The sequence below is a fragment of the Homo sapiens genome, chromosome 22 (assembly GCF_000001405.40).
Source record: "Homo sapiens chromosome 22, GRCh38.p14 Primary Assembly".
Lineage (NCBI taxonomy): Eukaryota > Metazoa > Chordata > Mammalia > Primates > Hominidae > Homo > Homo sapiens.
In genome coordinates this window covers 18,912,781-18,930,319 of record NC_000022.11, presented here as the reverse complement: position 1 = coordinate 18,930,319, position 17,539 = coordinate 18,912,781, and the positions used below count along the sequence as shown (strand labels likewise).

The following is a 17,539-nucleotide window of genomic DNA, read 5'->3' as shown; positions in this document are numbered from 1 at the left end:
CCTGCAAAAGAGAGGCTGTAGCAGAGCCTCCTCCATCAGGTCAGCAAGTTTGTGTAAACAGCCAGGTAGCACAGACTCTCAGTCGGGCCACACCCTCCCTGCCACAACGGCTTCACTCTGCCTCAGTAGGGCCATAGTAATTAGAATTTCATATAATTTTCTTGTGTCACAAAATATTATTCTTGTTTTGATTTCTTTCAACCAGTTTTTTTAAAGTAGGGTCTTGCTCTGTTGCCCAGGCTAGAGTGCAGTGGTGCCATTGTTCACTGCAGCCAACCTTCTGGGCTCAAGTGATCCTCCCATCTGAGCCCCCTAAGTAGCTGGGACCACAGGCACGCACCACCATACCTGGCTAAGTTTTAATTTTTTTTTGTAAAGATGGGATCTCCCTATGTCTTCCTATGTATTTGGGTCCCCTGCACCCTGACAGCAGCCGGGCCTGACCCACATAAGGCTTGGGACAGTCCCTCTGTGGACCTGGTCAGGCCTTGGTGGTTGTTCCTGCCCCTCCCCTGGTGGCTGGCCTGGGAAGGGGAGGGAAAGGCAGTCACATGAGGCCTCCAGCCCTGGGAACGGAATGTCTGAGGCTTGCCTCAGCATGTCGGCTGCCAGCTGCCTGGAGAGGATTGGCCAGGGGAGCCCAGCCCCTGCCTTGCGATTGGCTGTTTTGAAGGTGGGGTACTACAGCCCCAGCACCCCACTGTGTTCCTAGCAGGCCCCGTGGGCCTTGCAGCTGCCTGAGCTCTTGGCTGCAGCCTTTGCTGAGCTGCCTGTTGAATAACCAATGGCCTGTGTGTTCTCAGAAGGAGTCTGGGTGGGGACTTGGTTTCACAATGGGATTTTCCTCTCAGGCGCCTCTGGTATGAAAAGACTCCTTTCCCAGGGTGGTCCTGCCTGGCTTCCTCCCTGCCCTGCAGGCTGAGTGTCTGGAGGTGGACTGGCCTGCACTCTGCCAGGGGGCTGGGCACCTGTGTCCTTAGGAGCTTGAGTCCTTTGCCCTGCAAGGGATTCACCTGTCTTGCTGCTGGTGGCTGCTGTCTGCAGGGGTCCTGCTCCAGCTCTGGGAAGTGAACAGGGTTCCCTCCTGTCCTCACAGGGGTGCATGCTGAGGACACCTACCGAGCTCAGCTGCTTTGTGCTTTCAGAGGGGCCTGAGCCATGGGGGTAGGGCTGGGTCTGCAAGCACTGGTCTGATGTCCACACTGCAGCATGGCCTGCTTGGCCAGGAGTGACCAGTCACGCAGACCCTAGTGCAGGGAACTGCTTAGAGATCTGCCTTCCTAACCTACCCTCCTGTCACAAGGGCCATGGGCTCTACTCTGGGGAGAGACACTGAGGCCACCGCCCCAAATTAAGGCCATGGCAAGTGGTGCTGGCCGTGAGAGGCCCAGGGAGGATGGAGGCGTCTGAGTGCATGGCAAAGTGAGTCCCAGCAGTGCTCCCGAGAAAGAAAGAGGAGGTGGGAGCCTGGAGGTGCAGGAGGGCAATGCCCACCCGGGGGGGGGGTGGACCATGCTTCCCAGAGGCCAGGGCCCCACCCAACCCCAGGAGAGGAGTCCCAGGGATCCCCGAAGCAGGCTGAGGGCTTGGGGATGGGGAAGGGGCCAAGGCATCTTCCTGATGATTGGGCTGTGAGGGAACACCTAGGGGGTGGATGGGGGCATTGGTCTGGCTGTGCAGGCCCAGGGCTGGCTGGAGGCAGGATATGTGTGCAGTGAGTGTCCTGAGCGAGGGGCTGGGGAGGCAGAGGGTTGGGGAGCTGGGGAGGGGGGTACAGGTAGGAAGCGGCTTGCCAGGCTTCCCTCCAGGAGAGAGTTGGACAAGGGCGGGGTGTGGACCCCCATGCTCTGCTTGTTTCAATAGGCATCACGTCCCCAGGGACAGCCACCCAGAGCTGAGGTGGAGGCTGAGGGGGTGGTCAGGGTCTTCCTGCTGTCTCTGAAGACCCCCTGGGGACACGTGCTTGTCCTCCTCTGCCCTATGTCCCCTTGTCGCTCTTCCCTCCTCTGTTGTCCCAGGTCGTGCCCATGTGTGCGATCATGTGCCCTTCAACAGACTATGCCCTGGGCATGATGAGGGGTGGGACTGGGGGAGCACGAGGCAGGTCCTGGCTTTAAGGAGGCATTGGGATGTGGTCCCCACCCTGATCAGGGCCCCACATCCACTGGTTCACCCTTCCTCCTCTAACACCCCACAGCTGCCAGTGCCATGTGCCCCCCTCTTCCCTGTGGTGCCTTGAGCCAGGACGTGGCAACGTCCCAGGTGGCGAAAGCCAGATTTCCTGTGTGGCACCCGCAGTTCTGAATCAGCTGCTCCCAGGGTGCTTTCTTCCTCTTCTCCAGTGGAAATAGGACCCCTGACCTGCCTGGGAACCACCATTTGTGTCTCCTTGTGACTTATCCATGATGCCTGTTGGAGAGTGTGGCCCTGTCCTTGCTGCGTAGCCATCCACTCTGAGACCTGGCTGCCCCTCTGGCCACTGCACGTGCTGTGTGGTCATCTTGGCCACTGCTTGGCTGTGTCAGCCTGGTCTGTGCTCTGGAAGTTCACGGAGAGGAGCAGCGGTAGCCTATGGTGTTCTGCCTCTGAGTGTGTCAGAGCAGGAGAGGGAGCAGCCCTGGCTTCCCCAGCCTCTCCTGCCAGGCCCACCTCAGAGGATGAACACAGCAGCTGTGGGAATGCTGAGCGGGAACTCATCTGCCTGGGGACCTGTCAGATAATGATCCTGTTTCATGAAGGTGAGCTGCCTCACAGGCAGACACCTGTGTGGTTAAGTCCCGTGTTATCCAAACTGTGGGCTGTGTGGTTTCAGGATGGGACCTTCTCTTCAGGGTCATGGAGGCCCCTGAGGCCCTGTCCCCACTGTCTGCTGTTACTTGCCATGAGGGTTTCTGCCCTGGGCAGGGCCCTGGCTGCCACCCCGGCCTTAACATAGACAGTGAGTCCCCCTTGGGGATGGCTTTTCCTGGCTGTACCTAAGCCTTGGCGTGAAGGTCTTAGGGCTGATCTCATGACTGGTCTTGAGGTGCCCAAGCCAGGGGCCCAGGAGCTCCCTGTCTCAGGCAGGGGTTCACGTGCTGCCTGCCTGTTCCCTAGTCACATGGTGACATTCCACCCTCTTCTGTCACATCTCTGTCAGCATAAGGTGGCCAGAGCATATCTGCCTGCCAGCTCCCATCACTGGGCTGCAGCCTCAGGGGCCCTGGCAGCACATGTGGAGTCCCTGGCCCATGTGGGGCTGCCCAGGAGTGGGTGGGAGGGAAGGCCTCCTGGCGGGGGCTCCTGGCCCAGGGCTTGCTCCTTGAGCAGCCAGGTGGAAAGTGGGCAGCTGAGGCCCCTTGACATGGAGGCCTCTGGGATGCGGCTCACTGACCACTGCTCTGCCTTTCCCCTTCCCGGCATCTGAGGGGGACCCTCTCCTTTCCTGTGAGTGTGGGCAGAGCTGCCCCTGAGGGTCCGAGCGCCTCTGGGGAGCTTCAGGAAGGCTCTGGGTGCTGTTGGTCATGCAGCTGAGCTCTCTCCGTGGTCACTGACTTGATCAGGTTTGAATATAAAGTCAGGTGACCCTCAGAGCTGCTCCGGGGGCCAGGGAGACCATGGTCGCTTTGTCACAGCAGACTTAACGGCCGCAGCAACTCTTGCTAGCCTGGATGACACAGCACTGAAACCAAGTGCCAGAAGCAGATTGTGGCTGTGGGGAGGAGGAGGAAGAAGAGGAGGCTCTGGCAGGGGTGCAGGGCTGGTGGGGGAGGGGAGCCAGGTACCCTAGAGAAGGGAGGGGCCAGGGGGAATGGGGGTGCTGGCCAGGCGGGGATGGAGAGGCTTCTGCAGGAAGGACAGGGGCTTGGCTGAGCAGAGTGTGGCCAGCCTAGCGGGGGACAGCCTGCATCCTGGCCTCACTGGTCTTGAGGTGCCCAAGCCAGGGGCCCAGGACTTTGGGCATTACTAGGAAATGATGGGAACCCTGGGTGGGGTGGCGTGAAACAAGATGAGATGGTAAGATCTGCTTTCACTTTAAAGGAACATTTCTGGTTGTTGCTTGGAAAAGAAGTGTCGGGGCAAGAATGCTACAGGAGGGCCGGCCTGGAGGACAGGGCGGGACTGCAGGGCTGGCTGTGCGGGGGCAGGAGCCTGTGCTTGCATCAGAGCTGCCTGGGAGACCCTGGCTCTGGGGTGGAGGCCTGAGTAAGGGGGCCTCGCTGGGGATTTGGGGACCTCTGTGTGCTGGTGCCTTCCCGCCTCCGTTCCTCTCAGCCCTGACTGGCTCTGTCTTGGAACCAGGTAACTACCTTTATTTGAGAACCTGCTGCAAGCCCTGGGCTGTTCTGAGAGCTCAGGAATATCGTTCTGATTTCTCCACCCACAAGGAGCCCCGGGCTTCCTGAGCCCTTGGGACACAGCAGCCCCATAAACTGCTGCCCCTCCCAGGCCCAAGTGTTCCACCCCAGGCTAGGGGTGGGGCTGGGGCTGCACCTTGGAATCTACCCTCCACCGGGGTTGTGGTGGGGCCCTCCGTGCAGCCTCAGTGGGAACGTGCCTGTCACCTGAGGCTCAGGTGGCGTGACCCTGACCTTTGCTCTCCCCCTCCTTCCCACAGGTCCTGCACCTCAGCTGCGGAGAGGGATGGCAGTGGTGAGTGAGAGGCTGCCGCGCAGGAACAGACTCCCTCCCGACTCCGCACACCCCTTGGTGGCTCAGGAGAGTCTAGGCTGGGGCACAAGTGGGCCTTGGGGTGACGTCGGAGCCCGGGCTCCTCCCTATGTCCAGGGCACCTGCCCTGTCGCTCTGGGCTCTGACATACTCGCAAGTGTCTGGGGAGACGCCCTGCTCCTTTTTCATGGCCTCCTGGTGGACCTAGGCCTTTGTTAAGGAGACTGCCGTCCTGGCCTCATGAGGAGGCTTAGCCAGGGGGATGCAGCACTCCAGGTGGAAGAGCCGCGGTGTAGACAGGAGGGTGGGCTTGGGGATGGGAACCATGGGGCAGTGCAGTGCCAGGGCCAGGCTGGCAAGGCCACTATGCTTGGAGCCCTCCTGAGGGCAGGGGCCCTGGGCTATTGGTGTGTGGGTGCTGGGGGTGGGTGTTTGGAGCTGTGCTCAGGCCGTGCATTCGCTATTCCAGGCACGAATAAGCGGGACAAGCAATACCAGGCCCACTGGGCCTTCGGGGACCGCAGGAATGGTGTCATCAGTGCCCGCACCTACTTCTACGCCAATGAGGCCAAGTGCGACAGCCACATGGAGACATTCTTGCGCTGCATCGAAGCCTCAGGTGGGGCCCCCTCTTTGCTGGCTATACCCCTGCCATGTCCCAGCCTGAGCGGACCCCTGGGCTCATGGAGGTGCCGGTGGGTGAACACTAAGCTGGGGCAGGAGCCAGAGGGCTGGGTTCTGACCACACTTGGGTCCCTCACTGTTCAGCCCCTTCCTGAGGGGCCCCACTGCCTCCCAGAAGGCATCTCCTCTCCTGCCCCAGCTCCCTGTTCCCTGATCCCGCCTCATGCCCCCCACCCTTCTCCCTGGCTCAGGGCCAGGATCGGGAGCTGCAGGAAGTTGGTCCATGTCAGCTGCCGAGCCACACTTAGCCCAGGGTGGAGGTTCCATTCAGGGAGCTGGTGCCGCATCTTCTGTCCTTCCCTGACACAGCCTCTGGGGGCCAGCGGTGGGGGCAGCAGGTGTTTCCAGGGATAGAGAAGCCAGAGGTCAGCAAGGCCCAATGTCCTTCAGTGTTAGAAACATCCGACCTGCACAGCCCCATGCTGGCCCCAGCAGCCCTCCGTCAGGGGCAGCGGGTCCCAGGCCTGTTTATGTTTTTGTTTGTTTGCTTCAAATGAGACTGGATCTTGCTCTGTCACCCAGGCTGGAGTGCTCACGCCTCTAATCCCAGCAATTTGGGAGGCCAAGGCGGGTGGATTGCCTGAGCTCAGTTCAAGACCAGCCTGGGCAACATGGTGAAACTCCGTCTCCACTAAAATACAAAAAATTAGCCGGGCGTGGCAGCAGGCGCTTGTAATCCCAGCTACTTGGGAGGCTGAGACAGGAGAATCACTTGAATCCAGGAGGCGGAGGTTGCAGTGAGCCAAGATTGCGCCACTGCACTCCAGCCTGGGCGACAGAGTGAGACTCCATCTCAAAAAAAAAAAAAAAAAATGAGGTCTCACTATGTTGCCCTGGTTGGCCTGGAACTCCTGGGCTCAAGTGATCCCTCCACCTTGGCCTCCCAAAGTGCTGGGATTACAGGCACACACTACCACACCCAGCTAATTTTCATATTTTTTGTAGAGATGGTGTTTCACCATGTTGCCCAGGCTGGTCTCAAACTCCTGGCCTCAAGCGAACCTTACACTTTGGCCTCCCAAAGTGCTGGGATTATAGGTGCATGCCGCTGCACCTGGCACTTCTGAGCAGTGCTTGGAAGCCGCCTCCTGATGGGGGCTGAGGGTCAGAGTGGCCAGCTGAATGCTGGGCCATCAGGGTGAGGGGCGTCTTCTCCTCGTCCATTGCCTGTTCTCCCAGGGCAGGTGGAAGGGGAAGGCCCTGCATTGGGGTGGCGTGAAACAAGATGAGATGGTAAGATCTGCTTTCACTTTAAAGGAACATTTCTGGTTGTTGCTTGGAAAGAAGTGTCAGGGGCAAGAATGCTGCAGGAGGGCTGGCCTGGAGGACAGGGTGGGACTGCGGGCTGGCTGCACGGGGGCAGGAGCCTGCGCTTGCGTCAGAGGTTCCTGAGAGACTCGGTCTCTGGGGCAGAGGCCTGAGCAAGGGGACCTCGCTGGGGTGTCTCTGTCTTAGCCACGCTCGGTGTTTCTGGGTCCTGTGACCCACGTGTGAGCAGCCTGTGGTGCTGGTGGCACAGGGAAGGAAACCGAGGCAGGGAGCCTGTGGGGGCTGCTTGGCAGGGGACAGGCAGCTCCTGTGCCCACTGCTGTCCCACACCTGCATGGAAACAGAAACCCCGCCACGGAGCCCCCTCCCATCTCCACAGGGCCTCTAGAGCGCCATGTGCAAGGACTTCATGGGCGGGGTGGGGTGGGGTCAGGAGCCTGCTGTGGGCTGGCCAGGCCCTGGCCCTCCCTGTCGCACCCTGCGCTGCCTCCATGCACCTCTCAGGGCTGTCATGGCTTTTCCTGTGGCTTCTGACAGGTAGAGTCAGCGATGACGGCTTCATAGCCATTAAGCTCACAGCACTGGGGAGACCCCAGTTTCTGGTAAGTGCTAGAACCTTCCACCTGCAGAGTCTGGTGCTGTGCGAGATCTCAGGGCAGCTGTGGGCATCCACCAAAAACACAGGTGCCCATGCCTTAGAGGCCTGAGCTGGCCACAGGGGCTGTGTGGGGGACTGGGGTGGGCAGGGGCGTGTGCAGATGGCATTCAGGCCTGCGTTTGCAGCTGCAGTTCTCAGAGGTGCTGGCCAAGTGGAGGTGCTTCTTTCACCAAATGGCTGTGGAGCAAGGGCAGGCGGGCCTGGCTGCCATGGACACCAAGCTGGAGGTGGCGGTGCTGCAGGTGGGGCAGCCTTCCCCTTCCCCACTCCTGTGGCTTGTGAGGGGGTGGGCACCGTGGGGTCACACGGGGCATGGTGGGCAGTGGTCGGAGGTGGTTTTGGGAACTCACCCAGGGCATGTGGCTCACTCTGCAGCTGCTGGGGTTGGCCTGGTGGGGAGGAGGAGGTCAGAGGGACTCTGAACAGAGAGGGGAGATGCTGGCAGGAGGGCTGGAGACCCAGCCCTGCAGGGCGTGGGCGTGCATCAGCAGCGGGGTGGGAATAGACCTGTCTATGCAGTAGAAACAAACCAGACATGGATCCTGTTCTTACTAACGATGTAATAAAGCCAGAAACAGCACCAGAGGCCAATGGGTGGGGGGAAGGATAAAATATGAGTGAATGGGGCTGATCCAGGCCTTCTCACTTCTCAAGGAAAGTGTCGCAAAGTTGGGCATCGCATCCAGGGCTGAGATTGAGGACTGGTTCACGGCAGAGACCCTGGGAGTGTCTGGGTGAGAGCAGCCCCCAGGCTGAGAGGACACGAGCATCAGCCATGGTTCCAGCCAAGCCCCAGTGACGTCTCCCAGTCCTGGCTGCCCTGCCTGAGAGGGTGGGCCCTGGGATGACAGTGCTGAAGGAACTGCTTTTCACACAGCAGGACTTGATGGCTTCAGGAGTCCCTGAGGCTGGGGCTGGGCTGGGCAGGGGAGACACAGGGCCAGCACAGACCCCATAGAGGGCTCTTTATAGAATTATCTGGGTCCAGAGCAAAGGTGGCACTCTCAGCCCTCCCTGGAGTCCACGCCGGCAGGTGAAGGATCAGAGCCCCATGCCCCATCCTTGGAGCCAGGGGCTGGGACCCAGATCACCAGGAGCCTCCAGTTGAAGTGGGGAGGTGACTGGGGTGGTGCAGTAGTGAGCCATCCCCTCACACACTGCCAGCCTTGCCCACTGTGTCCTCCCTGGCCGCCCGGAGCTGTGTCCGCCTCCTGCCTGGCTGCCTGTGCTCGGCCCCTCCACAAGCCCAAAACAGCCTAGGGTACTCAGTGTTTTCAGAGCCGCCTAGATGCAGGACTGTTTGTGTTTTGGTTTTAAATTTATTTAATTAATTTATTTTTTATAGAGACCAGGTCTCACCATGTTGCCCAGGCTGGTTTCAAACCCCTGGGCTCAAGTGACCTGCCCGCCGCAGCCCCCAAAGTGCTGGGATTATAAGTTTGAGCCCCCGCATGCCACTGGTTTTAAATTTTTAAACAGAAAACAATATTTATATTTCCTCTGTCTTTTAAAACTGAACACCGAGGTGGGTTTTGTGGTGGGTGGTGAACGGACAGGTTTGGGCCTCGATCCCCCACCCGACCCTAGCACCCACAGGTGGGGGTGCCCCCTCTGCTGATGCGCCTCCTCCCTCAGCACCATGGACCTGCTGGACTGGAGCAGCCTCATCGACAGCAGGACCAAGCTGTCCAAGCACTTGGTAGTCCCCAACGCACAGGTAACACCTCCGCTCCTCAGTGAGGCCCAGCTCAGCAGGGCGCTGCGCTAAGAAGGGAATTCAGCCTGCCACGTGTGTCTCTTGTTGCCTACCCTGGGAACTTAACATGACCAAAATCACTGCACACTATGGCCCCACAGACCCCCTGTGGTCCAGGGGGAAGAAGACAAGCCCACTAGTGTCCACAGAGTGCTTGGCGGGACAGAGACCCACGCGGAGCCTTAAGACACCACAAGGAGAGGGGGTCTGGGGGCCTTCCCCAAGTCATCTGTCTTGTGCATCAGGTCACCCCAAACTTCAGAGGCCTGAAACGGCAGCAGCCACTCTGCTTCTGCCTCATGGTTCTGGGGTTGACAGGGCTCAGCTGGGCAGTCCTCCCCTGGGGTCTCCTGGGTAGCTGTACTCACAGAGTGGTGGCGCTGGGACCTGGGGGAGGCACCCATTCACATGTCTGGGAGTTGGTGCTGGCTGTGGCTTGGGCTTTTTCCCAACATGGCAGCTGGGCTCTAAGGGCCAGTGTCACCTGAGACGTGAGAGCCAGGCAGAAGCTGGGTGACCTTTTCCTGCCTCGCCTCAGAAGTCACACGGTGTCTTTTCTGGCAAGTTCTGTTTGTTAGAAGCATGTCACCAGGCCAGCCTGTATACAGCGGGGAGAGGAATGAGACTCATCTGCCTGTGGGAGGGGGGCCCAGGACCTGGCAGACTGCTTGAAACCACAGCTTAAACTGGGATTCAAAGAAAGAACAGAAGCACCTTCAGAAAACATCCTGCAGAGGCAGCTTTCCATGACACATCTAGCCCCAGTCCACTAAGGGCCCAGCCTCAAACTTAGAGCCCCCGACCCAGAGCCTCGGGGCGCAGTGCGTACAGTGTGGCTGTGCACCAAGGCCACCAGCTGTTGGAGACTTTAGCATGGTGTAGCAAGGGATAGAGTGGTACTGTTTGTGCCCAGTGAGGCAAGGCTGCTGGGGCCAGCAAAGGGGTGAGCGGGAGGCCCTGCGGGATGGGTCCCCACGGCCTCTGAGCACCAGCAACTTGAAGGCCTCATCCTGGTGGTTGCCCTGGTCCCTGGCTACGTGTCAGCACGTGCTGCACAACTGCCCTGTCTGCCTGTAGCCAGGGGTCTTCCTCCTGGGCCCTCTGCCTGCTCCGGGTGGAGCCCTTCTGTTTGACGATTGGGTGATCAGTGTTCACTTGTTCAATGTCACATGGGAGTTGCAGGGGGCTCTCCCACAACGGTGGGGCCTCTGTGGGAACTGGGGAGTACACACTTCGGAGTGCAGGCCTGGACTGAGCCTGGGGCCCACTGACATGGGCACTGAGCTCCCTCGTGGTACCCCTAGGCCCCGCATAGGGCAGTGCACTGGCTGCGTTGGAGGTTCAGGGGCACTGTGCTGCTTGTCCAGGTGGCCCTCCCTCCCAGCCCTGCACAGACGGGTGAGAGGGTTCCTGTGGGCTGGGAATACTGAGAGAGGTTTAGCCTGGGCCTCAGGGTGGCACTTTCCCGCCCTTGCTGTGGCCTGACCGCGTGTTGCACCCCCAGACAGGACAGCTGGAGCCCCTGCTGTCCCGGTTCACTGAGGAGGAGGAGCTACAGATGACCAGGATGCTACAGCGGATGGATGTCCTGGCCAAGGTGAGCTGTCCCGCTCGGGCAGAGGGTACCTGGGACTCGTGGAGAAGAGGGCACCTGCCTCACTTGAGCAACAGTTGCTCCCACTCTCCCACCCCCTGCGCCTCTCAGAAAGCCACAGAGATGGGCGTGCGGCTGATGGTGGATGCCGAGCAGACCTACTTCCAGCCGGCCATCAGCCGCCTGACGCTGGAGATGCAGCGGAAGTTCAATGTGGAGAAGCCGCTCATCTTCAACACATACCAGTGCTACCTCAAGGCAAGCCCCCGCTCAGCCCCTCCCTGCCTGCCCTGGGGCTTGGAGACCCCACAGGAGGGGCTCCTCTCATCTGAGCTCCCTGGCATTTGGCTGGTTTTACACTCAGCACCCACCAGGGAGCTCATGGGATGGAGGAGGGAGTGGGCCGTGCCCCCAAGGGGTTGTTGGGGTCTTCTGCAGCACAGCTCACCCAGCGGGCCCCAGGGTCCAGGAAAGAGCCCCTTAGGTGGTGGCCACAGCCAGGCCTGCAGAGGAGGCTGAGGCCAGGGTGACTGCCTCAGAGTAGCAAGAAAGACCCGCTGCCCGCAACCTCTCCCCTGGTTCTCAGAACCAGCCAAGAGTGTCTAAGGAGCAGGAGGAAGACAACAATCTTTATGAGGGTCCACTAGATGTACCCGACACCCCAAACTTGGAAGGTGTCACATGACCATTTCCTCCAGCGTGTTTTCAGTTCAGCGCCCCTAAGAACCTCCTGAAAGCTTTGGGCCCTCCCCGGAAAGACTCACCCAGGATGTCACATGTATTCAGGGAGCCCACCCTAGCCTTTGGGCCCCAAACTGCTCAGGGATGTTAGCAGGTCCAGAGCTCTCAGGGGTGAGCCGGATGCCCAGAGGACACAGGGTGGCATGGGGAGGGGTCCAGGCAGGAGCATGCAGTATGCACCCCTCCCGGTCGGCCTGGGAGTCTGGAGCACATGATGGCTGCTGGCGCCTGGGCTGCACCCACAGGGCCGTCCACAGGCCACACAGGAAGTTGCAGACGTCCCCACTGCCATTGCTCCTTGGGGACAGAGGTTGGAGGCCCATCCTCACCCACACCTGCTCCAGGTGCCCTGAGCTGCACCTCCCCAGGCAGCTGCTGCCCAGCCCTGGTGACTGCACCTGGGCCCAGGAAGGCCCCATCCTGCTGTCACTTGGGCTTGCCCAGGCTCCCTGTGACTTTTGGCCCTGGCCCCACAGGATGCCTATGACAATGTGACCCTGGACGTGGAGCTGGCTCGCCGTGAGGGCTGGTGTTTTGGGGCCAAGCTGGTGCGGGGCGCATACCTGGCCCAGGAGCGAGCCCGTGCGGCAGAGATCGGCTATGAGGACCCCATCAACCCCACGTACGAGGCCACCAACGCCATGTACCACAGGTGCGCAGCTCTCCCACCCCTCTGTCTTCTCAGGGCAGGGCGCCAAGAAACCAGGCCTGAGGGAGAGGCTTGGAGACTGAACTTGTCAGCCACATGTGTCCCCAGGTCAGAACTGGTATTTCCTCAGCTTTTATGTCATGTGTTACTTTTTCAAAAGCATTAAGGTTATTCTTTTATAAATATAGAAAAGCCTATTGAACAAAGCAAAATTGGCCACAGTTCCCTGAGCTTGCTCCTGCAGACACTTAGATCCAGAGATGTGCATGAACACCCGGTCCTCCCCACCCTGCAGGCTCAGCCTGTTTGCTTTTCAGTTCACACAGTGGGATCGCCCATCAGCTGTTCTGCACCTGCTTTTACTGCTCTAGTTTCTTGGTGATCTTTTCATGTAGCACAGGCTGGCCAACCATGGGCTTTTCCTCTTAGAGGCGTGTGTGCATGCTGCAAATTCAGAGAGACCCCAAGTGTCTCCTGGTTGGCTCCAGCTCCCCTCCTGCAGCCGCTGTGCATGTCGTGCCACAGCGCACACATCTCCGCCATTGTTTTTTGCGTTGTAGCGTGTCCTCTGCCCGATGTGTTTTTCATTTCGCGTTCCATCTGGGTCCTCTTGTGTGGGCTTGCAGAGTGGTGCTGTCAACAGCCAGCATGGAGTGCCCGGGGCTATGTGTCCAGCATCTTTGATCTTATTGGTTTTTAGTCTGGTTATTGTAATGGACTCGCTGGACATACCGTCACCCTCTGTGGTACACACGGGCCGTCAGGGGTTTTGTGTCTGAGGATGCAGCTGTCCTAGGTTGCTGGAAATGGAATTGCTGGGTCAGAGAGAACGTGCGTGTGGTCAAGCCTGCTGAGTGACCTCGCTGCAGGAGGGCCGTACTGCTCGGGCTTCCTGGTGCACCGGGATGCCCACCCCCACTGTGCCCTACAGGGACCTGCTTCCCTTTTATTTCCTTGCAGGGCCAGGGGTGCACTGTACGATCCCTCCCCAGAAGCAAAGCTGTGTCTGTCATGAGGCTCATGGGCATGTTTGGGCTGGTCCCCAGAGTCACAGCACGTTTGATGCAGGGACTCTGCCCCCACAGCTGGTTCTGCGTGAATTGTCTGGTCCCAGACATCGCTTTTGCTTGGTTGCTGGTCTTTCTTTTTCATGAGGTGCTGGGAGGGGCAGATGCTGCTCCTGTTCCTCCTGATCCTGTGGATACCCTTGGAAAGAGCCAGCTCAATGGATGGATCTGGGTCTGCCCTCGGCCTCCTCTCTGTGCAGCTGGTAATGAGAGGTGCAGGCAGCCACAGGCCTGGAACTGGGCTCACATGGCACTCTCCACAGGTGCCTGGACTACGTGTTGGAGGAGCTGAAGCACAACGCCAAGGCCAAGGTGATGGTGGCCTCCCACAATGAGGACACAGTGCGCTTTGCACTGCGCAGGTAGGTGTGCCCCACCCTGCACCGAAACCCCAACCTGAGCCGTTGTCTCCTCCGGCTGGGGAGAGGTGGCAGCAGCGCAGAGCTCAGGGTGGGCAGAGCGACCTGCTGGGTGGTCGGGCATTTGTGGGGAAAGGCTGGTGAAATGAGCTGGAGGGTGGCTTCAGTGGGCAGGCCCAGGCCCGCTGGCGTTCTGGACATCGGACTGTGAGAGCACAATGGCTTTTTGCAGTTACGTTGGTTTTTAAAATTAACTTTTTTCTTTTTTTGAGATAGAATCTCGCTCTGTCACCTATGCTGGAGTGCAGTGGCGTGGTCTCGGCTCACTGCAACCTCCGCTTCCCAAGTTCAAGCAATTCTTCATGCCTCAGCCTCCCAAGTAGCTGGGATTACAGGCATGTGCCACCACGCCTGGCTAATGTTTTGTATTTTTAGCAGAGACAGGGTTTCACCGTGTTGGCCAGACTGGTCTCAAACTCCTGGCCTCAAGTGATCCTCCCTTCTTGGCCTCCCAAAGTGCTGGGATTACAAGCATCAGCCACTGTACCCAGACTTTTAAAAATTAACATCTGACTTATTAAACTTCACAATTAAAAAACTAAATTTCATCAGGGTATTCGGATGGCTCCTGAAAGGTACAAATGCAGTGTTGGAGGCCAGTCCCTCAGGAGGCCTCCACAGTGCCACCTCATTAATACGCCCTTAACATTTTAACTACATCTGGAATGTAACGGTTTGTTTTCTCTTTAAACATTTGTCCCATGGAGCACAACTTCGGTAGAATTCTAACAAGTCAAATGCAGAAGTTAGGTGAAGTCAGTTCTTGGATACTCCTGTACTGTCACCCTGGTCTTATCTCATGCCTTAGTCCAAGCTATGCACACAATGGGGTCCTAGGTCCCCCTCCCCTCCCAGATTCCGCCTTCCCAGGGATGGGACCCCCTAGAACCCTCGGGGGCCTGGGCAGTGGCCTCGCTGGCTCTCGCCTTCCTAGGAGCTGAGCAGGAGCTCCACTCTCAGCAGGGCAGGGTGCCCCAGATCCAGGGCTTGTGGCACGAGGGGGCTCCCCAAGAAGCTGTGAAGCCACAGGGCCAGGCTTGGGGCCAGGGCTGCAGCCAACAGGACACATCCTGGTGCTGCTCGGGAGCTGACTCACGGCTCTGAAATCATTCAGTGATGTCCACATTCAGCCTTTGTTTACGATGCTGCTACTTTTTCATGGCCTGAAATTGCAGCACACCCATTTTTGTGCCCTGATCCTCTGCTAATTGTCATAGATGTGTCGGTGATGGGACAGACTCACTTTCTCCACACGCACAGGCCTGGTGGCCAGCACTGCCCAGCACTCGGGAGCTGGTGGGGGTTCCTCTCAGCTTGTAATCAGGACTCCCAGCCTCTGGGTGGACTCTCAATGCTGGTGGACTCACAGCCTGACTAGACACATCACCATCCAACTCCGAAAGGACAGCCTGCCCTCAGCAGGGCTTCCTCTCTCCAGCTTCCGCCCGGCACCTGTCTGTCCCTACTATCTTGCTGTGGCAGTGGCTTCCCCAGTGGACACAGCTTCCCCCTCCCCTGAGTGGCAGCCGGGCTCTCTCCTCTTGGCCCCAAGGGCCCTGTGCCAGGCTCCCCCAGTACCACGCTCACATCCCTGCCTGAGAGGCTGGACCCCTGCAGGCTTCAGCTCTGCCCCTGCTGTGGGTGGTTGGGGAGCTCTGGGGAGCTGGGGTCCCCTCCCATGGGTAAGTGGTTCTAGACTATGGCAGCTGCTCTGTCCTGTGCTGGGCCCAGACTGCCACACCACCCACCCTCAAACAATCGGAGTTGGCTTTGGCCAAGGAACAAACCAGCCCCAAACTTAGAGGCTGGAACAGTGGCATGTTCTGTAGGCCAGGGGTGGGCTGGCTCAGCTGATGCTTCTGCTGCTGGCTGTGCCTGTGTCCCTCCTGCGTCTGTGATCTGGGGCCGGTGGGGCCTAATGAGCTCATTCATGGCTGGGGCAGTAAAGGAGACTGCATCCCGGGTCCAGCGTCCCACAGGCCAGCCCAGGCTTGAGCACGTGGTGGGCTCAGGCTTCCAGAAGGCCTGGAGAGGGCAAGCCTCTGCTTGTGTCACCTTTGGTACCTCCCTGCTGGCCAAAGTGCCTCACGAGGCCAAGCCCAGATGCCAGGTGGAGTGAGCCACTGTCCTGTGCTGGGAGGAGCCGCAGTCACATGGCAGAGGCTGTGCACACCAGCAGGGGAGGGGGCAGCCAGCAGTGGCACCCGGCTCTCGGGTTCATGTCCTGGGGTTGAGGAAGACACAAGATGGAAGCCAGGGCGATGTGGCAGAGATGGGTGCCTGCTTTAGACTGGGTGGTCCCGGGTGATGCGTGAGCAGCAGGCGGAACTCACCCCAGGGTGGGGACCCCAGTGCTTTGCAGACCAGCGAAGTCGGGATACCTGGATATAGTAAGCTGGAGATGAAACTTGAGAACTGCCACTGCGTGGATATTTCAGACCCTGAGAATCTTTGTAAGACGCTATACGGGGTGGTGTGAAGACAGGACAGAGTGGAGGCCCCACCCCAGTATCTGAGCAGTGCTAATAGATATATAATGCAAGCCACATCTGTAATTTAAAATTTAGTAGCTACGTTAAAGGAAAAAGATAAAATGAATTTCAAGAATAATTTTAATTAACCCAAAATATTCAAAATATTACTTCAAATTGTATTCCAGTTGCTTTTAGAAAAGCAACGCGGCATCGTGCATTATTTTTCTACAAAGTCTCCTAAATCCCGTGTGTATTTGACATTTGCAACACATCTCGATTCAGAGCAGCCGCCTTCCGAGGACTCGGGGGCTGGTGGCAGCTGTGTGGGACACAGCAGCTGTGGGGATGGGGCAGGGCAGCAGCCCACAGAGGGCGAGGGCAGGGGCCGGAGACCAGTCATACCACAGAACCCTGGAGGGGCTTGAGGAAGGGATGGCAGGAGAGCTGAGGAGCTTCTCTGCCCTGTGGGGCAGGCTGCTGGGTGGGTCAGGGCCCGAGGAAGGGCTGCACCTCCAAGAAGGGAGCTAGAGGAGAGGTGAGAGAGGAGAGGGGAGGGAAAGCAGGTGGGAGGCCTTGTTGGCCAAGGGCTGAGGCCTCCCCAGGGAGACGAGTAGGGCAGCCCAGCAGAGTCCTGCTGGGAAGAGGCCTCACTGGGGCAGGGCCAGGCAGAGCCCATACCCCAGCCCCACCTTGCAGGGGATGAAGTCTGGAGAGTGCAGATGGGGCACCTGGGATGGCAGGACAGGCTCAGAGCTGGGACAGGAGCCCTGTATCCCTGCACTGGGGACAGTGTCCTGGAACTGGCCCTCAGTTCCTGGCTTCACCTGCACAGGATGGAGGAGCTGGGCCTGCATCCTGCTGACCACCGGGTGTACTTTGGACAGCTGCTAGGCATGTGTGACCAGATCAGCTTCCCGCTGGGTGAGTGGGGCCCTCCCTGGTGCGATGGGGTACGGTGCTGGGCCTGGGCCTCATGGTGTATCTGCCCCCATGCAGGCCAGGCCGGCTACCCCGTGTACAAGTACGTGCCCTATGGCCCCGTGATGGAGGTGCTGCCCTACTTGTCCCGCCGTGCCCTGGAGAACAGCAGCCTCATGAAGGGCACCCATCGGGAGCGGCAGCTGCTGTGGCTGGAGCTCTTGAGGCGGCTCCGAACTGGCAACCTCTTCCATCGCCCTGCCTAGCACCCGCCAGCACACCCTTAGCCTCCAGCACCCCCCGCCCCCGCCCAGGCCATCACCACAGCTGCAGCCAACCCCATCCTCACACAGATTCACCTTTTTTCACCCCACACTTGCAGAGCTGCTGGAGGTGAGGTCAGGTGCCTCCCAGCCCTGCCCAGAGTATGGGCACTCAGGTGTGGGCCGAACCTGATACCTGCCTGGGACAGCCACTGGAAACTTTTGGGAACTCTCCTCGAATGTGTGGGCCCAAGGCCCCCACCTCTGTGACCCCCATGTCCTTGGACCTAGAGGATTGTCCACCTTCTGCCAAGGCCAGCCCACACAGCCCGAGCCCCTTGGGGAGCAGTGGCCGGGCTGGGGAGGCCTGCCTGGTCAATAAACCACTGTTCCTGCA

General features: G+C 59.2%; 1 protein-coding gene across 3 annotated transcripts in view; it reads left to right on the top strand.

Moving 5' to 3' along the window:
- Positions 1 to 17,539, top strand: part of PRODH (proline dehydrogenase 1) — a 23,773-nt gene extending 6,234 nt beyond the window's left edge. For all 3 annotated transcript variants that reach the window (NM_001195226.2, NM_001368250.2, NM_016335.6), the window contains exons 3-14: positions 4,598 to 4,632; positions 5,120 to 5,269; positions 7,141 to 7,205; positions 7,387 to 7,503; positions 7,916 to 7,995; positions 8,897 to 8,978; positions 10,522 to 10,614; positions 10,723 to 10,869; positions 11,829 to 12,004; positions 13,332 to 13,430; positions 16,794 to 16,882; positions 16,958 to 17,539. In NM_001195226.2, coding sequence (NP_001182155.2) covers positions 4,598 to 4,632; positions 5,120 to 5,269; positions 7,141 to 7,205; positions 7,387 to 7,503; positions 7,916 to 7,995; positions 8,897 to 8,978; positions 10,522 to 10,614; positions 10,723 to 10,869; positions 11,829 to 12,004; positions 13,332 to 13,430; positions 16,794 to 16,882; positions 16,958 to 17,145 — 1,321 coding nt within the window. In that variant the 3' untranslated portion in view covers positions 17,146 to 17,539. The remainder of the gene's footprint in view (positions 1 to 4,597; positions 4,633 to 5,119; positions 5,270 to 7,140; positions 7,206 to 7,386; positions 7,504 to 7,915; positions 7,996 to 8,896; positions 8,979 to 10,521; positions 10,615 to 10,722; positions 10,870 to 11,828; positions 12,005 to 13,331; positions 13,431 to 16,793; positions 16,883 to 16,957) is intronic.